The 27146-nt window shown below is 48.9% G+C and overlaps 1 protein-coding gene across 8 annotated transcripts in view, besides 3 other annotated features; it reads left to right on the top strand.

Annotated features, from left to right (window-relative positions):
- NDRG1 (N-myc downstream regulated 1) overlaps positions 1-22839 on the top strand; it is a 60078-nt gene extending 37239 nt beyond the window's left edge. For 7 of the 8 annotated variants that reach the window (NM_001258432.2, NM_001374847.1, NM_001258433.2 and 4 more), the window contains 11 exons: positions 784-846; positions 1588-1648; positions 3151-3237; positions 5419-5475; positions 9471-9574; positions 11243-11299; positions 12088-12139; positions 13351-13398; positions 15624-15659; positions 17940-17991; positions 20895-22839. In NM_001258432.2, coding sequence (NP_001245361.1) covers positions 784-846; positions 1588-1648; positions 3151-3237; positions 5419-5475; positions 9471-9574; positions 11243-11299; positions 12088-12139; positions 13351-13398; positions 15624-15659; positions 17940-17991; positions 20895-21136 — 859 coding nt within the window. In that variant the 3' untranslated portion in view covers positions 21137-22839. Of the gene's footprint in view, positions 1-783; positions 847-1587; positions 1649-3150; positions 3289-5418; positions 5476-9470; positions 9575-11242; positions 11300-12087; positions 12140-13350; positions 13399-15623; positions 15660-17939; positions 17992-20894 lie in introns of all 8 variants that reach the window. The other variant, NM_001374844.1, reaches the window with a different exon arrangement.
- Positions 2978-3067: a silencer, noted in NCBI's record as "silent region_19561". NCBI's record gives its function as "represses an Ori minimal core promoter by ATAC-STARR-seq in GM12878 lymphoblastoid cells {active_cell/tissue: GM12878}" and the evidence as "EXISTENCE:reporter gene assay evidence [ECO:0000049][PMID:35858748]".
- Positions 11189-12388: an enhancer, noted in NCBI's record as "CDK7 strongly-dependent group 2 enhancer chr8:134259869-134261068 (GRCh37/hg19 assembly coordinates)". NCBI's record gives its function as "activates an origin of replication core promoter dependent on BRD2, BRD4, P300/CBP, MED14 and CDK7 cofactors, with strong dependence on CDK7, by STARR-seq in HCT116 cells {active_cell/tissue: HCT116}" and the evidence as "EXISTENCE:reporter gene assay evidence [ECO:0000049][PMID:35650434]".
- Positions 24932-25001: an enhancer, noted in NCBI's record as "active region_27993". NCBI's record gives its function as "activates an Ori minimal core promoter by ATAC-STARR-seq in GM12878 lymphoblastoid cells {active_cell/tissue: GM12878}" and the evidence as "EXISTENCE:reporter gene assay evidence [ECO:0000049][PMID:35858748]".

The raw sequence follows: 27146 nt of genomic DNA, 5'->3' as shown, positions 1-27146 counted from the left end.
GATGTGGAGCCACACCATACGGGCTCTTTCTGGCTCTTCCCAGGGCGTCCGCATACACTGCTTCCCTGCCCACACGCTTTACTCATCAGGTTCCCATGACCCCTTCAGCGTCACTTCTTCCAAGAAGCCCTCCCTGATCATCTGAGCACGGCAGGTCTCTGTTTCGATAGGCTTTGTTATGAGTAACACCCCCTGTTTCTGTTGACTCGAGGGCTGGCTCCTGTCCTGGTTTGCATCTGCTTTGCTCACAGACCCCTGCCATTGCCTCACCAAGAGCCCGGCATGTGTGAGGATCAATCACTGCTTTGCGGATGGAACTCATTCATGCCTGTTTTAATTCCTTCTCCCTGACATTGGAATTGTGAAATGCCTTCTAGTCAGTTTCTGCAACACCCTAGACCCAAAACCAGACAAACACAGTGAGGACATGTTTCTGGCTAACCATCTACTGCTCTTGTGAGGCCAAGTGTCTCATCTCTCAGCCTCAGTGATGTTTATAATCTTGCTATGAGGGGAAATCCTAGCAGCCTCCTAGAGTTATTGTGAAAATTGAATGAGCTAATTCCCAGAATGTGTCCATGGGACCTGGAGCGTAGGAAGCAATTGATAGAGTGTGCTGCAGGGGTCTTGGAAGGAGGATGCGAAGGGACTAGACTTGGGGGTGGGGGGGTCTGGGTGCATGGGGCAGGCTGCTGCATGGTCCCCACCCTTCAAGCGTGTCCCTGTTTGGATTACCCGTTTCTGTCCGGGCGCTCACTAATGGCTTCTCTGTGTCATCCCCAGGTACATGTACCCCTCCATGGATCAGCTGGCTGAAATGCTTCCTGGAGTCCTTCAACAGTTTGGGTAAGAGCGAAGGATCAGCTCCTTCTCTGTCTGCAGAGAAGCCTGGTTTCTAGCATCTTCCTGCCCCTTGGCTTTGATCTGGACTGACCACTAAAATTAAGGTTGCAATTTAGAGATGAGGCAAGAAATTAGCTCGTCACTCTGTGAACACTGTTCTTCACACAGTCTCTGAGCTCTAGTCTGTCTCCTCTAACTTCAGTTTTCCTCTTGCGTGAATGTTATATTGCATGATGGCAGCTGCCCCACCCATTTGCTCTTGCCTCCTGTTCTTCCATTCCCTTCTCTTTCCCATGGAATGTTCTGGAATGGAGTTGCCTGAGTCCTTAGCTTTTCTCTCCACACCCTCATTTTTCCAGTGTTCCTCTCTGTCTTGAGCTCTTCAAAGAATGATAACTTCATGGTTCTTGCTCAATTTGTTTTCATTCCAAGTTTTAGAATCCAAAATAAAGCTTAAGAGTGGGAAGAAATGATGCCGTAACGGGCCTTCCCGTAAATGTCAGACGGTCTCTCAGAGCCTGGGTGGCGGCCAGGAGGGAAGTGAGGAGAAGGGGCGCGGCTCTCCAAGGTCGAGGTCTCTGTCCAGTCCTAAAGCATGGTGACCTCAGAGCTGTGCAGGCAGTTACGGCAGCATGCTCCCGCATTGCCTAGCCAGGCGGTCACCCTCAGGAAGTTCTAAGTGGGTCCTTGGAGGCTCCCGTCACTCTGTCCTTGTGTGACATGCATTTGTATTTTTGCTTCCAGGCTGAAAAGCATTATTGGCATGGGAACAGGAGCAGGCGCCTACATCCTAACTCGATTTGCTGTGAGTGCTTTGGCATTTTTTGAAAATCGCATTTTAAATAACATTTTAAGATGAAGGAAGACATTGGAAAAGCATCAAAAACCCAAAAGGGAAAAAGAAATGACCCGTATTCTCCACAGTTGTGTGTGTGTGTGTGTGTGGTGCATGGGTACTCGTATATATATATACTCACAGCCTTTTCTCTTCCTCCACTCAAGGATGATACTGGACACATTCCTTTGTCATGGGCTTTGTCCGCTTAGCCATCTAGTGAGGACGCTCCTCACTCACTGAGTACTCTGCTATGACACTGCTTTGTAACAGCTGTACAGGTTTTTGTAGTCAGGGCACTCCTGGGTCATAACTGATTCTAAACTAGAATCAGACACGGGAAGTTTTCATGACAGTTGTCATTGTTATTTCTCTGGGCTCAGGTCAAGAGCCACTGTTCCTTTGTATCCTCACCGAGCAATTGTGTAAGAATGCAACAATACTCATTTTGTACATCCATTGGTATTTTGACTACCTATTATTTGCTGGGCTTTGCTGGAGGTTGGGAATACTGACATGATTCTACAACATCCATCTTACAAAAAAAAGAAAGGAATGCTGACATGAATACAAAATGGTCTGGCCATATAGGCTCTCAGCAAATTAAAAATGGTCTCAACTGTACCCCAGGTGTACATATCTATATCTGTATGTATCTGCATCACATAATGACATTTTGGTCAATGACAGACTGCACATTTGACAGTGGTTCCATAAGATTATAATGGTTCATTTTTACTGTACCATTTTTATGTTTAGATTTGCTTAGATACATCAATACTTAGCATTGTGTTGCAATTCCCTGCAGTATTGGGTAGCGTCATATGCTGTACAGGTTTGTACAGCAAACCTAGGAGCAAAGGGCTGTTCTATACAGCCTTGGTGAGTTGTAGACTATACTGTCTAGGTGTGTGTAAGTATACTCTGAGATCTTCACACAATGACAAAATCTCCTAATGATGAATTTTCTCAGAAAGTATCCCTGTTATTCAGCGATGCATAACTCTGTCTCTCTCTCTGTGTGTGTGTGTGTGTGTGTGTGTGTGTGTGTGTATGCATGTGTTTATCCTGGAAGTAAGTAATACAGTTGTTACTGCCACAACTAGAGAGCATTTGTGCTGTGCGCCTTGTTTGATTGATGAGGTCGATGGTGTGTTACACCCATTTGATAGCTGGAGAAGCTGAGCCTCCGTGGGTTGAAGTGACTTGCCCAAGGCAGGCCTGCAAAGCAGCGGGCTTCCTACTTCTCCTGCACTTCCTCTTTCTCCTTCCCACTCTCTCTAGGACCCGATACCGTGTCTGCTGTGCTGGAACCTCAGTTTTGCATGGGGTGGGGCCGGGGAGCAGCAGCCTGCTCTGCTGCCCACACTGCCTTTTTCTGGGTACTTCTCTCAAGCTTTGGTTTGCCTTGGAAAGTTCCTAGTGTTTCAGATTGCTGGGATGTCTGTCTCACTTTGTGTCTTGAATTGCAGCTAAACAACCCTGAGATGGTGGAGGGCCTTGTCCTTATCAACGTGAACCCTTGTGCGGAAGGCTGGATGGACTGGGCCGCCTCCAAGGTGAGGTGGGGGCCTGTCAGGCCGGCGGGATCCCTGCAAGAAGAGGGACAGGTGCACACAGCCTCTGCCTGGGGGATCCCTGGAGCTACGAGCTCTCTCTTTACCCACTCCTCCACTACCCTCTACTGCCCACTCCAGTTCCCTCTGCTTTACTTAGAACAGTACACATGACCTCAGCCGTTTGCCATTCAGAAGACTTAAATACCACCAAGCTGTCTAAGCCAGGGAAAGCACTGGGACACAGGTCCCTGAGGCAGCTTGGAGAAGCATTGCTTGGATTAATGAGTATTAGCTGGGTACATAACTTGTGCCAGGCTTTGGTCAAGATGCTGAGCATCTTGAAGAACAAGACTTCTTGAGATGAACAAGACAAAAGCCTCTAGGAATGAATCTTAGGAATCCATTCACATATTATTAAAGAAAAATAAATATGTATTTAGTACGGACTGTGCCACAGAATTTTACGATAATAATTAGCTAACGTAGATTGAGAGTTTACCATGTGCTAGTTTCATTCTACGTTGCTGTGTGTGCATGATCTCAGTTAATCTTCATAGTAACTCTAGGAGGTGAGAATTTTTATCACCGTTTCAGAGGTAAGGACTCGGTGTGGCTAAGGGGATTGTCCAGGGTCACATAAAGCTAGGCAGTAGAACGGGGACTGGATGCAGCTTGCTTTGACTTTGTGGTTCGTGGACCTGACCACCCGTGCCCCTGGGGCTCCTGTCCAGGGTGGGAGACAGGCAGGCCTGGCAAGCAGGGTAGGCTGCCTGGAGGAGAAGGGACCTGTGCTGTCTTGGGAAGCTCTGTCCTGGCTGGTGTCCTAAGGTTCCTTGTTTATCTTTTAAAAATTATCATTGTGGTGTTTTTGTTTTTGTTTTTTTCCCTGTAAAGGCCTCAGTGTTGGCCAAGGAGAGGGGGAGGTCATTCCAGTTGAAATAGGACAGAGTCTTTCAAGCTGAGGTGATCGCAGCTTCTCATTCTGCAAGTGCATTTTTGCCCAATTTTGGGTGGCTGCCAGGGACCGATGGTTTGAAGGGGCCCTGCCTCTTGCCCCATCCCCTGCCCTGTACCAGCCACTGTGATTTTGCATTTGTTCTTTGAACATTCCTCCAGAATGCAGGAGCCCTTCCGTCCAGCCTGTATGACGTTCTGGAGTGGAACACACTCCCTGTTTTTTATTTGATTTTCCAGCAAAGGAAGTGACATTCCAGTCAACCCGCTGGGCTTCATGATAGCTGTCCTGAGTGAGACTCGAAGGTCTGGGGATGTCGACCACTGGCTAATGTGAAGCCTGAGGATTGTCTTTAATAGCTGTACTATTCCCTTCAGTACAGCTTTAATAGCTGTACTATTCCCTTCTTTTTCAACTCCAGCCTTTCGATTACCAGGCATTGGTATTAGATACTGTGATGTGTGCAGTTACTTCTTGCAGTCCTTCCCTTGACCTTGTGGCCTTGAAGTTCCTGGCACTCCCAGTTCCAGATTAGAAGTCTGAGACCCAGAGGTATGCAGACTGCCCAGTGCCACACAGCTAGGCTGTGGCAGGCAAGGGCCAGCCAAAGACCCTTAGGTCTAGAGCTTCTCTCCTACTCATTTTTGCCTAATGCTTAGGTCAGCACACATTTATGGAGCTTCTGCTGTATACTAGGACTTATAGAGCTCCTGCTGCAAACCTAGTCACTGGGGAGAGGTAGGAAAAGAAGATTGTCAGTGTCTTTGGTAATATCAGTATACTTAGAAAGGGGAAACTGGCTTGGAGATGAGAGAGGAGGGATAGTTGGGAGCCAAGCATATCTTGGGGTATAGACTGGGGAGCTCAGTGTGTTTTTAGAAGAGGTGAATGGATGGCCCTCTTTGCTGAGGACTTGGTGAATGTTTGGAGCAGGGTAAGCTAGCAGTAGCTGGGTCTTTATTCAGCACTTATTTGCTGTGCATCTTGTGCATGGGCCTCTGAAAATAAGGAACTGGATATAGTCCCAGGCCCTGCATTTGGGGGATCAGGTCCAGGAGGGAACTGGAGACAGGAACTGAGTTTCTATCAAGGGGGATGTCCTTGAGGCCTGCATGTAGGGGGGAGTCCAGCAATGCCACCCTGCACCCAGGGAAGTGGGGTTTTGCTGACCTTGTTAACTACTGTTAGCTCCTGGTTTCTCATCCACCCACTTTACTCCTTTCCAGATCTCAGGATGGACCCAAGCTCTGCCGGACATGGTGGTGTCCCACCTTTTTGGGAAGGTGAGTTGCGTGGTCTGGCAAATCTGTTGTTCCTGCTGAGCAAGGCATTGTGTGGTGCTCAGCACAGGGCCCCATGTGGGGGTGGAGAGAACAAGACACAATCAACTGGGGGCCACCGAGCTGGTGCTCATGAGATAATGTGACATTATTCATTCATAAGCAACAAGTCATTCATTCTCTCTCTTTTTTATGTGTCTTTTAAAAACAGCTGATTGAAGTACAATTAACTGCACATATTTAAAGTGTACAATTGACATGCATATACATTTGTAAAACCATCCCTGTAATCAGGAGAATAACGTCTCCATCACTCCAAGAGTTTCCTTGTGCCCCTTGATAGTCCTCCTCTCCCTCCTCCTCAGGCAACTTCTGATCAGCATTGGCCTCTATAGATTGCTTTGCAATTCCTAGAATTTTATATAAATGGCATTATATAGTAGGTACTCTTTTTTTTTTTTTTTTGGTCTGGCTTCTTTCCCTCAGCATAACCATTTTGAGATTTGTCCATGTTAATGAGTGGATCAATAGTTTATTCCTAGTCGGGGTGCAGTGCTCATTCCTATAATCCCAGCACTTTGGGAGGCCATGGCAGGAGGATTGCTTGAGCCCAGGAGTTCAAGACCAGCCTGGGCAACATAGTGACACCTTGTCTCTACAGAAAAATTAAAAATTGGCCAGGCATGGTGGTTCTGCATGCCTATAGTCCTAGCTACTTGGGAGGCTGAGGCAGGAGGATTGCTTGAGCCCAGGAGTTTGAGGCTACAGTGAGCAGTGAGCTGGGATAGCCCACTGTATTCCGCCTAGGTGACAGAGAGACCCTGTCTCTTAAAAAAAAGTTTATTCCTTTTTAGTGCTGAGAAGTATTCCATTTTATGTATGTGCAACAGTTTGTTTTTCCATTCACCTGTTGATAAGACCTTTGAGTTGTTCCCAGTTCTGGGCTGTTATAAATCTGGTCAGTAGCAAACATGTCCGTGGAGTTAGCTGTGTGCTGGGCTGGGCTCAGTCCTAAGAGCTTCACAAGTGTTAACTATAGGAATAGGATTCCACCCAGGTGCTCTGTGACCTGTGTGATAAATTCTGTTCTCATTCCCAGTTTATGGAAGAGGAAACAGACCAGAGAGGTTGAGTGACTTGCATAGGGTCTCAACCAGGGAGAGGTGGGGCCGGTATTAGAACCTATGAATCTGGCTTCATTCTGGTCACCACAGCAGGATGGCGGCTGCCTGTGCTGCTGCCTGGCTCTGAGATGAGCTGCTCTTCTGCAGAGTTACCCCACTAAAGGGGATTGAGCCAAGCCCCTCACAGCATGCTAGAAGTGAGCAGTCATCTTATCAGCCCAGCCTGCCTGGCCCCAGACACTGGTTTTGTGTCTCTAGCTGGGGCCAGCTACCCTCGGGAAGGGTATGCCATGGGCTTGGTTGCAAGCCCAGGGTCTGGAAAACCCCTTGGTTGCCTGAAATTGCAGTGACCTGCTTTGCTTACATACCACTGTCTGCTTCTGAGCTAACATGTGTGACCATCTGACACTCCCATGAGTCCTGGGGACACAGCCTCCACTCTGGAGCTGGCGAGTACACCAGGGGAACAGACGCCCCACTCTGGAGTTGACGAGTGTACCAGGGGAATAGAGGCCCCACTCTGGAGTTGACGAGTGTACGAGGGCAATAGAGGCCCCACTCTGGAGTTGGCGAGTGTACGAGGGGAATAGAGTCCCCACTCTGGAGTTGGCGAGTGTACGAGGGGAATAGAGCCTCCACTCTGGAGCTGGTGAGTGTACGAGGGAAACAGAGGCCCCACTCTGGAGCTGGCGAGTGTACGAGGGGAATAGAGGCCCCACTCTGGAGTTGGCAAGTGTACCAGGGGAACAGAGGCCCCACTCTGGAGTTGGCGAGTGTACGAGGGAAACAGAGGCCCCACTCCGGAGTTGGCGAGTGTACGAGGGAAACAGAGGCCCCACTCCGGAGTTGGCGAGTGTACCAGGGGAACAGAGACCCCACTCTGGAGTTGGCGAGTGTACCAGGGGAACAGAGGCTCCACTCTGGAGTTGGCGAGTACAACTGCTAGGTTTGCCTGTTGTGTTGGTTTCCTGTGGCTTCTGTAACAAATTACCACAAACAGGATGGCTTAGAACAGCGAAAGTGGGATGAGCAGGGTGGCTCACACCTATAATCCCAGCACTTTGGGAGGCTTAGGCGAGTGGATCACCTGAGGTCAGGAGTTCGAGACGAGCCTGGCCAACATGGTGAAACCCCGTCTCTACTGAAAATACAAAATTAACCGGATGTGGTGGCACGCGCCTGTAATCCCAGCTACTCGGGAGGCTGAGACAGGAGAATCACTTGAACCTGGGAGGCAGAGGCTGCAGTGAGCCGAGATCGCGCCATGCACTGCAGCCTGGGTGAGACAGAGGGAGACTCTGTCTCAAAAACAGAGAAAAAGGAAAACAAAAGTGTATTCTCTCACAGCTCTGAGTCTAGAACTCCGATGTCAAGCGCTGGCAGGGCCGCCCCTCCGCCACAGGCTCCAGGGGAAATTCGTCCTTGCTTCTTACTGCTCCAGGTCGCTGTCGGCATTCCTTGGCTAGTGGCTGCTCACACCACTCTCTGCCTCTGTCTTCACATGGTCTTCTCCTCTGTGTCTGTTTTATTTCTCCCTCTCCTTCCTCTTTTAAGGATACTTTCCATTGGATTTCATCCCGGCTCATGTAATCCAGGATTATCTCATCTCAAGATCCTTAATTAATTACACCTGCAAAAACCCTTTTTCCCAGCAAGTTTGCATTCCCAAGTTCAAGAGATTTGACATGGACATATCTTTTGAGGGCCACAGTTTAGCCCACTAGAGTCCTCTTTCCCCTTTTACGATTCATTCCACAGCGTGTGACACATTTTCCCTGTCCTGAGTGTGTAATCTGAAACTGATAGGAATTGGGAAAAATTCACAGCCACTGTCTCTGTTTCACTGGAGGAGGGATGTCAGACATAGCGTTGAGCATCTGATCTGATTATACCCCAAGTTATTTGGAGACTGGTTGGTCCGGCCATGGTGTCTGAGGGTACCCCCAGATCGCTATAGTTGGTTTTGATCTGAAATCCCAGCGTGATTCCTGACTATTTTTTCCAGAGTTTGCTCTTAGTAGCCAGTTGACCTCCTTGCTGCCTAAATGATCCTGGACTGTTTGATGCAGCTCAAGCTTGACACCGGCTTTCTTTGACCCCCAACTCCAACTTCTCATCTGGTTGCCACTGGTCATATCAGACCCTTGTGTGAAACCTACAGTGTCTGCCCTCGTACAAATGAGAAACAGAGCAAACAAGTTGTTTGTCGCAAATAACATTCAAAAAGCACCCAGAGACGGGGAGGCTGAGGCCGACTTCCCCAAGGCTCTGGTTGGCCGTGGTGGGAGTTGCAATTGCCCTTCTTTTCAGTAACTTCCTGTGGCATGAGTTGATTTTGCTTTTCAAGCATGAAAAACTTCTTTTCAGCTCTTCCCATTGGAAAACAATTACTAACATTTGCCTCCAATTTTTACTGTTAGTAGAGGTGAGAACACAACCTCCATTAAGTCCTACAACCTAGTGAAGTAGGCAACATTCTCTCTCTTCCCTTTTTTTTTTTTTTTTTTTTAAGAGATCTGAGGCTCAGAGAGGTTGAAAGATTTGCCTACGAAAGGGACAGTGATGAAGCTAAGCTCTAGATCCAGGATGTCTGACTTCAAATTGAAACTCCCAAAGTAATGAGTTTGGAAGGGTGGGGTGTGGCCTTTCCAGGATGGGGGTCTTTTCTGCTCCCAGCGGATAGTGAAACCCCTGTCTGCACCTGGTTGGGCGTGTTGCTTTCCCAAAGGTTTTTTTTTTAGGTCCGTCGCTGTCTTGTGGATTAGGCATTATTATCTTTACTTTGTCTCCAAATAACCTGGAGAATGGAGAGAGTAGTGACCAGCTCAGGGCCACAGTGCGATGAGGACCATCTTCTCACCTCTCTAAATGCAGGAAGAAATGCAGAGTAACGTGGAAGTGGTCCACACCTACCGCCAGCACATTGTGAATGACATGAACCCCGGCAACCTGCACCTGTTCATCAATGCCTACAACAGGTATTGGGATGTAGTTCAGCCACATCATTGCTATTTATGAGGTGTCTTCTGTAGATCCGAAATGTGGGACAGATGAGAGGGAGAGTATAAAATGAGCGGAAGAGGCAGGCTCTGAGTTTGAGCAAATAGATTAATAGGACAGGTGTCCCCAGGAAGGACACCTGGCCTGTAAGCTGGTTCCTGGCATTCAGCTCGCCTTGCAGGGATCTGAACAAACACTCCAGACCACTGGGGGTGCAGACGTGAGAGGGACGCAGTCGCACACTCAGAGGGTTGAGAGTAAATATGTGTGCCCGCTGCTGACCTTCACGAAAGGCCAAATGTAAGAAGAGCTAAGTGAGAGAGCAGCAAAGCACTCCTGGAGGCCGGGGATAATCCAGGCAGGCTTCTGGGAGTTTGTCATTCCAAGGATAAGGAGGACCTGAACATGGCCTTTGCCTAAGGCGTGGCCCTCTCAACCAGCACTAGGTGCTTATCTGGAGCTCAGCTAGGGGAGGAGACAGCTCAGGGCCATTGGTGTCAGCCAGAGACTCTGTAATCTTCCAGGGAGCTCGCTCAACCTGCTGAGCTCGCTCTGCCACGCTCGCAGAACAGGAGATAGAAATGAGCCTCATAGTGTTTATCTCTGCTCAAATGTTAATAAAGTGACTTCTTGAAATTAACATTTGTAACAGAGCTTAGTATCTGCCTCCTTTTACAATCCTGCCCTCATCTCAGTGGTAACATCCTCACTGTGGATGTGACTGAAGAAACCGAAACCTGGCAGTGCGGTTCACTTAGTAAACACTTTCTGAGAACTGGAGCGAGTCAGGCATTCGGCTGGGCGCTGGAGACACAGAGGAAACCAGCACAGCCCGCAGACTCCACACTGTTAACTTGCCCGTGTAGATAGCACCGTAATTAACTGACCCCTCTCCAAATCCCACTGTGAAGGTCCTGGAATTACTGTCATTTCCTGTTGAGGAAGCAAAGGCGCAAAGAGATCCTGTGTTCTCCCCAAGGCCACACAGCTAGAAAGTGGCAGAGCATGATTTGGATCCTGCTTGTCTAACTCCAGGCTGTGAGCTGGGAAAGAGCTTCTCATGTTGGGAGCTGCAAGATAGCAGAGAGGGTGGGTGGCTGCGTGCAGGAAAGGTGGTCGGCACTGGGCTGGACCCACACTGGGCCTCACACGAGTGCAGTGGGAAACCACCACAGGGTTTGAGACAGGGAATGGAAAGATGAGGCCTGAGTTTTAAAGAGATCATTTGGGTGCTTTATAGAGGACTCAGAGTTGGTGAGGCTGGGACTTAAACTAAGAGGCTGCGAGAGCATTTGGGAGGTGGCCCCTCTGTCAGGTGGGGGCTCTGACTAGGGGGACAGGGAAGGCGGGGACCCTCTATGGTGGAGAATCTGACTTCTACTCCTGGAAAAAAAAGCCCCACAAATATTTGTGACAAAATGAGGGGGCTCTGCTTGAAATGCATGTGTTGTGCTGTCCCTCTAACCAGGTCTGTGGACACCAAGAGGGTGTGGAGTCCTGAAAGCCACAGGGCCTCTCTCAAGTTGGGGATGTGGGTAGCTTACCAGAATGGCCACTGGCAGGACCTCCTGGGCTTGGCTGGATGGGAGTGGGAGATTTCTCCAGGGGAGGGGTCCTCATGCTAATGATGCATTTGTTTCCTGCAGCCGGCGCGACCTGGAGATTGAGCGACCAATGCCGGGAACCCACACAGTCACCCTGCAGTGAGTGGCTTTTCTCTCCCCCAGCACTTGCAGTCGGGGCTGCCCACTATAAAGGTGGCCTTGCTGGCAGGGCCTTCTTTCTGAGTGTGGCAGGACATTGTGTCAGTGAGACCTGGATATATTCCACCCAGAGACTGAGCATTACCCAGCCTGACTTGGACTTCTCCCTGTGCCGGTGGCATCCGTTTCTAGGGTGTCCCCATGACCTAGGCCTTTGATCTTGGAGAAGGATGGTTGATTGTACTTGGGACAGCATTTATTAAGCACCTACTACATCAATAACTGTGTGAGGCTTTGCTCCATGAAGCCTAGGGATGGATAGCACAGGACCCAGCCTTAAAGTGCTCCATACACCTAGGAGGAAAAGACAGTCATGGACAGAACTAACTGGGTTTCCACCAGTAATGATGGTGTCTTTTTGTGGCTGAGTGCACCGCGTTGTGTGACACTTGGGAACCTGGCACGTCATTGCCTTTGTCCTTCATGCTGTTCTTGTTTCGGTCTTGATTGCCAGCTAAGTCCTGCTTAACCATCCTTGAGGAGAAGATGCTTTAAAACAAAAGCACTGAGTCACAGAAATTCCCTGGCTGAAATTCATACTAAGTTGTGAATGACTAGTAACCAATGTTATCCTAAGATCAAAGGAGAATGAAGTAAAAGAGCAAAGGGTGTTGGGGAAACCAAAATGACATTGTTTGTAGAATGCAGGCCCCAGCCTGGCAGGCCTGGGAGTGGGACAATCTTTAAAGGAACCTTGTGCTAATTCTCTGCTCTATCCCTGACCCCAGGTGCCCTGCTCTGTTGGTGGTTGGGGACAGCTCGCCTGCAGTGGATGCCGTGGTATGTAGAAATCACAGCTGATTTCTGTGTTTAATTCAACAGGCAAAGTCTGGTTGACTTTGTTGAAGTGGCCCTGCCTGCCCCTCCTCTCCTCTGCCCCATCAGGGCAGGTGATGTTTTTTGAAATGCCATATTGGCCTTTGGGCAGAGGGCCCAGCCACTCAGTCTCTTTCCCTGGTGGCTGCCAGCCCTGGTTGCTTGGCAGTGTCTCCTCTCCCAGGTCCCCTCACCCGCCAGTCTGTGTCCCATCGGCTTGTTTATATGGGCATGTTTGCCACTTGGCTTCCTGGCCAAGAGACTCACCTCTTATTTGGGAAGCAGCTGGATCTTTCCAAACTGACTGGTGCCTGATGAGCTGGCAGGGGAGAGAGGCACTGGGAGGCAGGGCTTAGCAAAGCTTCCTGACTCCTTTCACCCCTTAACTCCCACCTGCAACTTTGTGGCAGCAAAGAGAGGAATCTGCCTTTCAAACAACCCCACAGCTGGGGAGATGGAAGACTTAGGGGCTATGGATCAGAGTCCTGCAGTACTGCCATGCTTTGTGCAGTGATCTGCAGAGTGACATTTGCAAATGTTCATGTAGTAAATACCTGGCATGCCTTAGTGAACCATGAGTTTCTTACGGGCTGACTGACTGGAGATAATCATGGGATACATCAATAGAGATACACTGTTCAAATCAAGGGAGGTGATAGTTTTACTTTAAGCATTTTGAACATCCTGGGTTACATATGGGTATTCTGCCCAATTCCAGATGCCCCTTTCAAGAGGTTCACTGACAAAATGAAGAGAGAAACCAGTGTGATTTTACATGAAGAATAGTTGTTAGATCTGGGAATATTAAACCTGTAGAATCTCTGGCAGCTGCTGGTTAAACAAGGATATTTATTTAGCAGGTATTTCTACAGTACTGTTTACATTTCGGCTAATCTTCATAATAACCTTTTGAAAAAAGATATTAGCTCCATTTTATTGATGAGGAAACTGAGGCCCAAAGAAGTTAAATCACTTATCCAAGTTGTCACAGCTGGTAATGGCAAGGCTGGGATTTCAAGCCACATCTGCTGAATCCCAATAACTCCACATACTTTCTTCTTTGCCAGCAGAAATACTGGAGTTTCTGGTGACGGTGGCAGAGTGGCGGAGAAGGGGGAGATGTTTTGGCTTTGGCTTCACGTAGAAAATTAACAGATTTCCTCCCTCTTGTGCAGGTGGAGTGCAACTCAAAATTGGACCCAACAAAGACCACTCTCCTCAAGGTACAGGGAAAACAGTGGGGGTTCGTGTTTGTTATTTCTTAGAAACTCTCAGACGTTTTCTGCAACATTGAGTTAGGCTTGAAAAAGGCAAGGCACACGATCAGAAACTATAGAATTAATGATTTAATCTATCTGTTTATGAACATATATTGGGTGCTGACTGGTGATCTGAGGCTGCAAAGATGAGGGATCCTTCTCTGGGACTGCAGGAATCAATAGGCTGCTGGTCTGGGGGCTTTGGGGATAGAGGGACCAGGGATGGCTTGGCAAGGGCCCTCCATAGGCTGGGGCCAGGACATTCCTCCAAGAGGGGCTCTCTGCTTGTCACAATAAGAAGAGACGTGTCCCACAGCCGGGGAAGGTCAGGACTTTGTCCAGCAAGTTCATCTGAGCACATGGTGAGCCAGCTCACTCGCAGCTGGATTTGAGTGTCTGTAGCAACCTCCGCCAGTCCTTTGCCAGTTATGACTGATTGCACAATGCAAACCACTGGCTGTTTGTGGCGGCCTCGTCCGGAGATGCAGCCCAAGAGTGGGAACCTTTCAGAGGGGCCTCTCAGCCGGGGTGCACCCCTGCAGGGGCAGATGACCAGGCGGGACCTGGGTGGAGATGAGGCGGCTCCCTCGCACTGGGGGAAGGACAAAGAGGTGGCATCTGTAGGTCACCGTGCCCTCAACTTCCCCCATAGAAGTAGAATGCCTTTGAAAGGCATGTAGGGGGTGTCCGATACTTATTGAGTGGGAGGCTGTTTTCCTGTATTGGGCTCTTTACATAGATTTTCTTTCAAGATTCCCTCAAAAGGAAATTGCAAGATTAGAAGCTGCTGGGCGTCAAGCTTGCATAATGCCGTACTTTGAGGGCGGTTGTCACAAGTATCACAAAATGGGTGGCTTAAAGCAACAGATATTTATTCCCTTTTAGTTCTGGAAGCTAAAAGTCCGAAATCAAGGTGTGGGCAGGGCCGTGCTCCCTCTGAAGGTGCTAGGGGAGAATGCTGCCTGCCTCTTCCAGCTTCTGGTGGCTGCTGGCCACACTTGGTTCACCTTAGCTAGTAGACACATCACTCCAGTCTCTGCCTCCATCCTCACTCAGCACTCTCCCGATTGTATCTCTGCGTCTATGTCCAAATTTCCTTCTTCTTTTAATAACATCAGCCGTTAGCTTTAGGGCCCGCTCTAATCCAATATGACCTCATCTTAACTTGATTTTACCTGCAAAGACCCTATTTCCAAGTATAGCCACAGTGATAGGTACTGGGGTTAGGACTTCAGTATGTCTATTTTGGGGACACAATTCAACCACAACCTACAGCAAAGGGTAGGTGGCCTGACTGAGGTGGGGTGGCCGATTTGATGGTAGATCCAGAAACAGAACTCACTTAGGCCTGATTCTGGAGACTTCCACAGCGTCAGTCTAATGTGCTGAGTGCCCCGCCTGGAGGAAAAATTCGGGCATCCTGCTCCCTGCGTGCTGGTTGAGCTGAGGGCTGCCCCAGGTCAGTGTCGCTTTGTGGCTAGTGTTGGGGGTCCAGACTTGAGGCGCCCTGGGCTGTAGGATGCCCACAGCCTCACCACTCCCATGAACTCCTCCAGCCCCGTTTCACCCCAGGCCACCCTCCCCGCAGCCTCCCCCTGCTCCCTTGCCGTCAGCGCTGCCCATTTCCAGGCTGGCTGCACAGTCTCACAGCCTGCAATGGCCTCTTGCGGTTCGGTGATTTCACAGGGACTTTGAACGTCCACCATTTAGGAAGGGTACTGGTCAGCTGAATCCGGCCTGAAGACCCAAATTCAACCACTTCCTTTTGAGGGAAACTTTCAAGGGAATATATGAAGAGGGTCTTGTTTATCAAACCCTTTCGGGTCAGAGAGATCCTGGCCTGGAACCTTGCGAGTCCCTCAAGCTCTTCCTGGCCCAGTTTCTGCCTGTAAAATGGGACAGCTGTACCTTCCATGGTTCTTGGGGAATGGAGTGAAATTATCTGTAGGGCCTAGCATAGTGCCTGGCACGTAGCAAGCTGCAAGTGATGGTTGCCACGGAGACACCAGCAGCCTTGCCTGGTGGGGCTGGAGTGTTCCCTACCCACGGTCCACCCTGTTCCTCCTTTGTAAGGCAGGACAAGGCAGGGCAGGGCAGCGGGCGGATGGGCATCCTTTCGGAAAAAATTCATAGAGCGCAGAGGGCCTTGGCTGTGGTGTTTGGCACTAACGAGCTTCCCTCTCTCCTAGATGGCGGACTGTGGCGGCCTCCCGCAGATCTCCCAGGTGAGTGCCATGTTGGCTTTTGCATTATACAGCTGTCGCTTCCCCCTGGGTGGAGTGCATGTGCCTCTGTGACACCTGTTCCCTCATTACCTTGCTGTGACATCGGATGACAGTTTGTGGACTGTTGGGAAAAGGTGCTATATAGGAGGACTCTGATTCCCTAGGAACCAACCCCTGTGGAGTAGGTGATACTGCGGTTCACAGAGGTTGGGGGATTTGCCAAGTAGACACACCTTGGTCATCATGGGTCAGAATCTGGGTATGTCTGCCCCAAAGACCACGGGCTTCTGCTGGAGTGAAGGGCCGCAAGGAGCTCCAGCCCAGAGCAGAGGGACATGGAGGAGATTAAGCCAAATTGTGTGTGTGTGCATGCATGTTTCTGTGTGTGCATGTGTACACGTCTGTGTGTGTGCATGTGTACACATGTCTGTGTGCATGTGTAAATGTGTGTGCACATGTACAAATAAACACATTGATCAACGTAATGTGTTTGCTACGTAACTGATCCCTTCAATTTCCCCTCCTATAAAGAATCTCACCAACCTAACAAGTAAACTTTTAATTTGTTGTCTTATAATTTTATATCCTGACAGTTTTGTGTTCCATCTTAAAATGAAATAGAGTTTTTTGTCATCTTTTTTATCCAAAACCTGCCCTGCCTCCTTTCTTCCTCCTTTTTTTCTTTCTCTACTTAAAATGAGAACAGATGTAACCCTGGTCATAATTAAAAGAATTTTCAGAGCTTCAGAGGAGTGCAACGAGCACAGGCTTCGAGGACACCAGCACAGGGGGGAGCAATTCCTGTGTGACACTGTCGTCCTCATGCCGTTGCAGGTTGGGTGTATGTTTACACAGGGTTTTCCCATCCTTGATTAAATTAGGTCCTTGCAATAGTCCTCAGAGGTGGGAAGAGCAAGCATTTTATCCCAGTGTCACAGAAGAGGAAACTGAGGCCAAAAGTTGAGAGAGATTGCCCATGATTACTGGAGCTAAAATTGGGCCCAAGTGTTCTCATTCCCAAGCGTGTATTCTTGGTTCTCTCCACCATCTCGAACACAGGCGTCCCTGTTCCCTGCAGCCCTGACCTGCTTCTCTTGTCTCTTTCTTCCACTGTCACACAAATTCCAGAGGGCAATTTGAGCATAGCCGCTCTTTTAAATGTCATTTGGCTCTTTGTGGAATCCTGGCAGGAGTTAGTGGAGAGCAGGGAGGGGGGTCAGCCCAGCCTCTACCAGTGCCCTCTCACTGCCTCAGGAGAATAGGACCCAGGGCACTGGATAGAACAGTTGGGATTAACTGAAGAACAGATACGCCTTGCACGTATGCCCTTGATATTTGAGCATTCACCTCCAAGTTTACATTAAATGAACTGAGAGAACTGGTAGAACTGGATGTGGTCTCAGCATTCCATACGCATTTCACTTAAAGTAGCCCAGTTAGTTGTTAATTAATTGGTTTGTTTACCCATCCAACGAACCATCCAACCATCATCCATTCATTCTTCTTCATATCCTTTCTTCCTTTTATTTGTCCTTCTTTTGTTCATATTTCTCTTTTTTTCTTCCTTTTGTCCATCAATTCTTTTTTTAATCCATCTTTCCTTCCTTCCTTCCTTCTCTTCCTTTCTTTCTTTTTTCCTTCCTTCTTTCCATCCATCCTTTTCTTTCCACCCATCCATCTATCCATCATCCCTTCTTTCAGCCAGCCTGCTATTGAGGCTGACAGTGATTTGCCTCAAGAACAAGTGTTTTAGGTTTGGAGAGCCCTGGGTTAATGTACAGGACCCACCACTTACTTGTTGTGGGACCCTGAGTGGATTTACCTGTCCAAATCTGTTCAGCTATGAAATGTATCTAAGGTAGCACTGACCTCGTGAGGGGTTGTCAGGAGTAAATGAATGAACGCAGCAAAGCCCCTTGCATTGGGAGTGGCTCATGATGCCGATGCAGTTATGTTCCACTTGCTGGGTTAGACATGTCCCTTTGTGGATGGTAATCTCCTCAGAAACACACAGAAATAGCTGTGATACTCTGCCCTGTATTACAGGTGAGGAAACTGGCTCAGACAGGTCATGTAACTTGTCCAAGTTCCACAGCTGTGGGGTGAATTTCCCATCATTGTCCCATACTCTTACTTTTGTGTTTTGTCCTGTCAACACGTGATGGCTTTTGTCTTGAGCCAAACTCTCAAATGAAGGTGACCACAGGCACAGCCCCCCATGGCCTCGGGTGATCTGGCTCCCCAGCAACTGACTGCATTTTCTCTCCTTGTCTCTCGCAGCCGGCCAAGCTCGCTGAGGCCTTCAAGTACTTCGTGCAGGGCATGGGATACAGTGAGTATGGCATTCCCCGTGTGCAGTGGGTCGGGGCATGTGTCGGAATTGGAAGTGCTCTGTCCTGAGCCAGGTTTGGATGAGCAATTCTGTGTCCCCCTGGCCAGCTTCAGCTTTCTGGGAGGAAACAGTTAGGTGTGTGGAGGGCATGTGGCAGCCTGGAGGATCTAGCCTCTCATTTATCAGTGAGGCTCATTTTTCCTCCTTTGTTGAATAGAAGTTGTTTCACACCAGGGATTTTGGGGGGTTTAGATGAGGACTGTCCCTTTAAGCACCAAGACAATGACCAACAGTGAAACAATAACATTTTTAAAAATTTTGATCACAAGTTTTAAGAGACCACTAGCTACAGTGATGATGAAGATGGTGTCGATGATGATGAAAGATTACTAACACATTATTTTATCTCACTGAACCATCACAGTACTCCTTTGACATATTCTTAGCCCATCTTATCAGTGATGAAGCTGAGGCTTCGGGGTTGTAAGCAGGGAGCAGAGGGCGGATCTGTGGAAATTCTTTGAAGACTGTGAAGCTCTGTGGAAGTGGCTAACAAAGTTGCTTACATTCAAGGTGGAGCATGCCATAGTCAAGTCATGAGCTTTGGGAAGTGGAGGATACATTGGAAGCATCATTCAGGAACTCACTCGTTCTTATTTTGCAGTTATAGTTTGTTAGACACATACAGCCTTTTTTCCAGAAGTGCTGTCCCAGGACTAGGACAGACCCTGGCGAGTTGTAACTCGGCTGAACAGCAGCCACACTCAGTGCTGTGGGCCTGTCAGCCATGGTCCGGCCCTGACATGACTAGTGGCTCTTCTGACCCTACTGCTTGGAACTATAATTCGTGTGTCCTCCCTTACTAGGAAGTTATTGAACTTCTGATCCCTTTTATCATTTCCTTAAACTGTTTGCCCATGTATAGTAAGAGTATGCTTGGTAAGCTGACTGCAGTCCTAGCATTGGCCTTAGCCATGATTAGCTCTAGCAAGGCGAGGCTGGCAGGTTTGATTTCCATGCCTCAGGCTCAGGCAGGATCCACATCCCCAGGTGCCCTCTTCCAACAGAAGCTATCTGCTAGTGGGGCTCCTGCCTTTCTAGCCTGCTTTCCCCGACGGAAGTTGCAGGCAAAGGTTGTCATTGGAGACAGCCATGGAGACAGCCGCGGGGCAGTCCTGCTTTACCCTGCACGGTGTGAATTGTGGCTCCCATTTGTCTTGGTCCCGCCAGGGTTTGGATTTCTGCTTTGAGAGTGTGTTCTGGAGAGAAAGGAAGTGAATGCTAGACCTCATCTTTCTCCCCAAATCGGCTTCTATTACCAGAAAGCTGAAGCCTCCTGCAGGTCTTGGGGGGAAAATAACAGGAAGAGCTATGGTCTCAAAGGCATCAGCCAAAGAGAAGGAAAGGAACCGGTCACTGGCCTTCTGCACACCACGGGGTGCTGGCTTGATGAACCCTTTGCACACCTGGCATCAGTGCTCACTGTACGCTTCTCATCCTGCTCAGTAGACATCCCAGATTTGTGGGTGAGAAGTAGGGGCTCAGAGAAATATGTGAGCTGCGGATGTGGCATTGACCCCAATTCTTTCTGAATTCAAAACTAGCTCTTTAAGACAATTCAGCAAGGATTAATTCTGTTTGGGAGTGCCTGACATCAAAAGCCCCTCCCTGTGCCTATCAAGGAGATAACATAAGCCCTGCATGCTTGGTGTGGATCAACTGCCCCTGTTTCTGATGTCTGACTCAGTGTGGCCTCCTAGCCATGATGCTTCAGTTGGGTGGAGTACTAGTTTCCTAAAGCTGCCGTAACAAATCTCCACAAACTGGGTGGCTGAAAACAATAGAAATCCATTCTCTCAAAGTTCAGGAGGCCTAAAGTCCAAAATCAAGGTGTGGGCAGGGCCTTGCTCCCTCCAACGCTGCTGTGGAAGAACCTTCCATGCCTCTTCCTGGCTTCTGGTGGCCCCAGCAATCCTTGGCTTTATGTGGCTTGTGGCTGCATCACTCCAATCTCAGCCTCTGTCTTTGCGTGGACTTCTCCCCTGCATATCCCTGTGTGCTGTTTCTATAAGGACATCACAGTCATTGGGTTTAGGGTTCCCTCTCAACCCAGGATGATTTCATCTCAAGATCCTTAACTAATTACATATGCAAAGACCCTATTTCCAAATAAGGTTCCCTTCTGAAGTTTCAGGTAGGTGTGAATCTTCCGGGACACTGTCCCACCCGGTACAGGTGGGCAGGATTGTTCCTCCTCATTCCACCCCATCAGCACGTGCTACCCCATCAGCATGTGCCACTTGCACGTGCCATGTGCAAGAGCATTTGAGGTCTCAGAGAAGATCCCAAAGAATAGACAGCGCCCTTGTTAGCACCTGGGCTGACAGGCTTCTTTGGGAGAGATGACAACGAATAGCCATGCCGGGAACTTGCCGTGTGGCCCCTCTCCCTTTCCCCACCTGTGATGTGCAGGGCCACTGACCCCAGGTGTCCTCCCTGCTCCAGTGATCATGGACAGCATGGGGTCATGGGCGTACACACAGGTGCTGATACCAGGGGTCAGTATTTAACATACTTGCTTTACAGATGGGAACAGGGAGGCTCAGGGGGACACTCTCAAAATTACACAGCTTTTAACAGGTGGCAGAATTGGGGTTCAGACCCAGATCTGGGTTCAAGTCACTCATGGTGTGATTGCGGCAGTTCCTTCCCGCATCTGGGCCTTGCCATCTCTCTCTCCGAGTGGACATGGAGAGGACGGGGGCCCAGCAGCTGGATGGCTGCAGGGATCAAGTCTTCTCTGGGGCTGGCACGTAGAAGAGCATGTGGCTGGTGGACGGGCATGCCTGGCTCCTCACCTGGCAGTCTCCTGCCCTCTAACCGGCTGTCTCTTGTTCCCCTAGTGCCCTCGGCTAGCATGACCCGCCTGATGCGGTCCCGCACAGCCTCTGGTTCCAGCGTCACTTCTCTGGATGGCACCCGCAGCCGCTCCCACACCAGCGAGGGCACCCGAAGCCGCTCCCACACCAGCGAGGGCACCCGCAGCCGCTCGCACACCAGCGAGGGGGCCCACCTGGACATCACCCCCAACTCGGGTGCTGCTGGGAACAGCGCCGGGCCCAAGTCCATGGAGGTCTCCTGCTAGGCGGCCTGCCCAGCTGCCGCCCCCGGACTCTGATCTCTGTAGTGGCCCCCTCCTCCCCGGCCCCTTTTCGCCCCCTGCCTGCCATACTGCGCCTAACTCGGTATTAATCCAAAGCTTATTTTGTAAGAGTGAGCTCTGGTGGAGACAAATGAGGTCTATTACGTGGGTGCCCTCTCCAAAGGCGGGGTGGCGGTGGACCAAAGGAAGGAAGCAAGCATCTCCGCATCGCATCCTCTTCCATTAACCAGTGGCCGGTTGCCACTCTCCTCCCCTCCCTCAGAGACACCAAACTGCCAAAAACAAGACGCGTAGCAGCACACACTTCACAAAGCCAAGCCTAGGCCGCCCTGAGCATCCTGGTTCAAACGGGTGCCTGGTCAGAAGGCCAGCCGCCCACTTCCCGTTTCCTCTTTAACTGAGGAGAAGCTGATCCAGTTTCCGGAAACAAAATCCTTTTCTCATTTGGGGAGGGGGGTAATAGTGACATGCAGGCACCTCTTTTAAACAGGCAAAACAGGAAGGGGGAAAAGGTGGGATTCATGTCGAGGCTAGAGGCATTTGGAACAACAAATCTACGTAGTTAACTTGAAGAAACCGATTTTTAAAGTTGGTGCATCTAGAAAGCTTTGAATGCAGAAGCAAACAAGCTTGATTTTTCTAGCATCCTCTTAATGTGCAGCAAAAGCAGGCGACAAAATCTCCTGGCTTTACAGACAAAAATATTTCAGCAAACGTTGGGCATCATGGTTTTTGAAGGCTTTAGTTCTGCTTTCTGCCTCTCCTCCACAGCCCCAACCTCCCACCCCTGATACATGAGCCAGTGATTATTCTTGTTCAGGGAGAAGATCATTTAGATTTGTTTTGCATTCCTTAGAATGGAGGGCAACATTCCACAGCTGCCCTGGCTGTGATGAGTGTCCTTGCAGGGGCCGGAGTAGGAGCACTGGGGTGGGGGTGGAATTGGGGTTACTCGATGTAAGGGATTCCTTGTTGTTGTGTTGAGATCCAGTGCAGTTGTGATTTCTGTGGATCCCAGCTTGGTTCCAGGAATTTTGTGTGATTGGCTTAAATCCAGTTTTCAATCTTCGACAGCTGGGCTGGAACGTGAACTCAGTAGCTGAACCTGTCTGACCCGGTCACGTTCTTGGATCCTCAGAACTCTTTGCTCTTGTCGGGGTGGGGGTGGGAACTCACGTGGGGAGCGGTGGCTGAGAAAATGTAAGGATTCTGGAATACATATTCCATGGGACTTTCCTTCCCTCTCCTGCTTCCTCTTTTCCTGCTCCCTAACCTTTCGCCGAATGGGGCAGCACCACTGACGTTTCTGGGCGGCCAGTGCGGCTGCCAGGTTCCTGTACTACTGCCTTGTACTTTTCATTTTGGCTCACCGTGGATTTTCTCATAGGAAGTTTGGTCAGAGTGAATTGAATATTGTAAGTCAGCCACTGGGACCCGAGGATTTCTGGGACCCCGCAGTTGGGAGGAGGAAGTAGTCCAGCCTTCCAGGTGGCGTGAGAGGCAATGACTCGTTACCTGCCGCCCATCACCTTGGAGGCCTTCCCTGGCCTTGAGTAGAAAAGTCGGGGATCGGGGCAAGAGAGGCTGAGTACGGATGGGAAACTATTGTGCACAAGTCTTTCCAGAGGAGTTTCTTAATGAGATATTTGTATTTATTTCCAGACCAATAAATTTGTAACTTTGCAGCGGCTTGTGTCTTTTTTCTGTCCCTGAGAGATTGTGTGTGTGAAACATTGCAGTGCAGGGATGGCTGTTTCACTGGGGGGTTGCCCGTCCTTGACACCTAGGGGACCCCAGCCCCTCATCTCTGGAATTCTTTCCTCGGAGCATCACGTCCAGCAGAAATTTAAGTCAGCTCATATGTTAATTCTAATTTCCCAGTGGCCACATTTTCAAAAGTGGAAAGAAACAGATGAAATTAATTTTAATAATACATTTCATTTATCTCAAGACGTCTAAAATATTACCACTTCTATAAAAACTATTGACCAGGTATTTTGCATTCTTTTTTCATTCTAGGAACTCTAGTGTGTTTCACACTCGCAATGCATTCAGACCAGCTGCATTTCAATTGCCCAGTAGCTTGGGCAGCACAATGATGAGGATAAAAAACTTTCCAACCTATAATTCGAGGAAAACAGCTTTTTTATTTTTAATATTTATTTTTATTTTTTGAAACGTAGTCTCACTTTGTCACCCAGGCTCAAGTGCAGTGGCACAATCTTCGCTAATTGCAACCTCCGCCTCCCAGGTTCAAGCAGTTCTCGTGCCTTAGCCTGCTGAGTAGCTGGGATTACAGGCATGCGCCACCATGCCCAGATAATTTATTTTTATTTTTATTTTTAGTAGAGATGGGGTTTTTGCCATGGCCAGGCTGGTCTCGAACTCCTGACCTCAAGTGATCCGTCCACCTAGGCCTCCCAGAGTGCTGGGATTACAGGCATGAGTCACCGTACCCAGGCTACATTTTGTTTGGATTACAAACAAATGTATGTGGAAAGATCATTCCTTTTCTCATGCCCAGTGACAACCATTGTAATGCTTGTTTTCTACTCTACATTAAAAAAAAGAGATTTTAGTGTAACCTCTTATTTAAACTAAGATTAGTTTAAAATATACAGACAGTTGCAAACAATACAGAGAGTTGCCATATAGCCTGTACTTAGTGACCCCTGTCACTAATATCTGACGTTACTGCATACTTGTCACAACCGGGAGATCAGTTGGACGTTGCTGTTAACTAAGCCCTGGACCATATTGAGAATTCACTGGGGTTCCCCTAATGTCCTCTCTCTGTCCAGGATCCCATCTGGGACACCCCATTACATTTTGTCATCATGTCTCAGCTTCCTCTGGTTTGTAACAGTTTCTCAGATTTTATTTTATTTATTTATTTATTTATTTATTTTTACTTGAGATGGAGTCTTGCTCTGTCGCCCAGGCCGGAGTGCAGTGGTGTGATCTCGGCTCACTGCAACCTCTGCCTCCCAGGTTCAAGCAATTCTCCTACCTCACCCTCCCAAGTAACTGGGATTACAGGCGCAGGCTGCCACGCCCAGCTAATTTTTTTGTATTTTAGTAGAGACGGGTTTTCACTGTGTTGTCCAGGCTGGTCTCCAACTTCTGAGCTCAGGTAATCCACCCGCCTTGGCCTCCCAAAGTGCTTGGATTACAGGTGTGAGCCACCGCGACCGGCCAGATTTTCCCTTTTCTTCAACAGCGTTGAGAAGCACTAGTCAGACATTCTGTCACAAGTCTCCCCACTGAGGTTTGTAAGTAGTTTTTCTCACAGTACAACTTGGGGCTGTGGGTTTTTCGGGGAAACCCACAGAGGTGATTTGTCCTGCTTCTCACATCATATCCAGGCCACACGCTATCACTGTGGTTTATCACTGATGGGATTAATGGTGATGGCGTGGCTGGGGTAGTGTTTGCCAGATTTCTCTATCGTCAGGTTACCCTTTCCACTTTTCCATATTCATTCTTTGGAAGTGTGAACCCCCAAAATTTGAGACAGGTCTCTGTTAATTTAGAAAGTTTATTTTGCCAAGGCTGAGGACAGGCGCCTGTGACAGCCTCAGGAGGTCCTGACGACCTGTGCCCAAGGTGATCGGGGCACAGTTTGGTTGTATACATTTTAGGGAGACATGAGACCGCAATCCATACATGTAAGAACCATACAGCCGGGTGCGGTGGCTCACGCCTGTAATCCCAGCACTTTGGGAGGCCGAGGCAGGTGGATCACGAGGTCAGGAGGGAGGGAGGAGCATGTTGGCTTGTGATTATTCAACAAACATAAGAAGTGCCTTTCCTACTTTGTGTCCTGTGTGAGTCGGGAACTAAGATAAAGCGGGTGGTGAAGGAACTGGCGAGGAAGCATCACAGCAGGGGGGCTGTGCCAGCTTTGAGGAGTCAGTGTGGCACAGAGACTTGCTGTGGTCTGGCTTCCTCGAGGAAGGAACTGTTGCAGGTGTTCACATGTATCAGTGCTATTTAGAGCTACATGCCCAAAGGCTGTTTGGCCAGCTGGGGATCTGATTCTGGTCTCCTAGCTGCTTGTTTTGGTTTCAAATCTCCTGACTCTTGGGTTTCAGCAGCATCTGGGAGGCCAAATGCGTGCTGAGATTAGCATGTGCAGGGTCTGTCCTTGGCCCTTTCCATAGTTTCCCTAAGAGAGTCATTAGGTTGACCCCTAGATCTGGCCTAAATCCATCGGCTTACGTATTTATATTGGGCTTCACAGGCTGCATGGAAACCCTTCGCTAGCGTCCCACATGGAATCCAAGAGCAGAAGGTGAGGCTTGGCCTTATGGGGTGGGAGACAGGACTGGGGAGGAGTTAGCCTCCTCCTTTCTAAGATCTGATTTTTGTGTAACTCTGAAGCATAAAATGGTGGCCCTAACCCAAGGGCTACCTGACCTTTTGGTTCTTGAACCCCAAACTAATCAGGTGTTTCTGTCTCTTAAGGGGAAGAATCTCATCGGTCCAGCTCTACTCAGGTGCCACTCCCTGTCTAATCAACTGTGACTGGGCTCATGTTACTCCTGCCCCCTTCCCCCCACATACATGCTGCAGGTGTCTGAGTAATTGATGTAGTTGTGGTGGTGAATTGAGTGTATCTGTTGCATGATTGAGCCCATTGACAGCCAAGCTCACTGTGGCAGAACATGCCCTTTCTCATCCCTGCTTTGAGAAGTGTCTGCTGAATGCCCAGCCTGCCCCACGAGGCAGGCGCCACCCTGCAGAGATGGGACATCTAGCATTTGTAACACATGTCACTGTGGGTGTCCTTTCTCTCGCAAACTAGGGATTTTTTCTTCTTCTTCTTCTTTTTGTTTTTTTTTTTTTAGATGGAGTCTTGCTCTGTCACCCAGGCTGGAGTGTAGTGGCGTGATCTCGGCTCCCCACAACGTCTGCTTCCCGGATTCAAGCGATTCTCCTACCTTAGCCTCCCAAGTAGCTGGGACTACAGGCGTGCCACCATGCCTGGCTAACTTTTTGTATTTTTAGTAGAGACGGGGTTTTGCCATGTTGGCCAGGCGGGTGGGATTTCTTCTGTATTGACAGGGCCAGCATAGAGCAAGGCACATAACAGGAGACTTTTGTTAAATTAACAGATGCACACTTCCTTTAATAATATTTAGTGTGCTTTATAGATTCTTCCCCGTTTTTATTATTTATTTGTGAGGACTTGTCCTTGCTTCATAGATGAGAAAACCCAGGCTCGGAGAGATTAAATCGCTTGCCCAGCCATTTCTAAAATGGATTAAATCCCTTGTTGTCTTGTTGTCTTTTGAAGCAGTTCACTGAGCACGTGACTCATGCCACCACCTATTGATGTCTTGGGATTCTGGAGCATCAGTAAGTTCCTGGGACTAACTAAGACTGTGGATGCCCGTAAGGTTGTTATTGACTGCGGCGGGTGTTTGTCCCTCTGTTATTAGATAGTCCCACTCTGACTTGGGTGACCTGCTTTTATATCTTTCATCTGGTTTTTAATTTTTCCACCTCCTCCTCTGCTGCCAGGCTGGCCTCTGCTATCAATAAGCCTGCTTCGGGCAGCTTCCTCTCCCTTTTTATGGAATGGACTAAGAAATCTACATGGTTGGGGTTGTGCGAAAATCAAGAGCAGTGAGGTTTAGGCTGGAGATCTGGAGACATTCGTTACAGAATAAAACATATGAAACAGTGCACGGGCTTTGTGACAGCTTGTTTGTCTCCTCAGAAGCCATTTTTGCTCAGTCCTACATTTAGAAAGAACCCAGATTCAACTAGAAATTGGCTCTCTGAATACAGAGGATGCCTTTGAATTCCGATTTTGTCAGTAGGGGTGATGGAGAACACTGGCATCTCTGCAATATGCTTTTGAAAATAAAATGCTTCATAATAAAATGCTCTGGCCGTTTCCCCTAAATCCCATTTCCCCCCCCCAATTCAGCCGCCTGACGTCCTAAAACATTGCCCTAACATCTATACATTCATCTTAATCTGA

The sequence above is a fragment of the Homo sapiens genome, chromosome 8 (genome assembly GCF_000001405.40).
Source record: "Homo sapiens chromosome 8, GRCh38.p14 Primary Assembly".
NCBI classification, from domain to species: Eukaryota; Metazoa; Chordata; class Mammalia; order Primates; family Hominidae; genus Homo; species Homo sapiens.
This window is presented reverse-complemented; position numbering and strand designations above follow the sequence as displayed.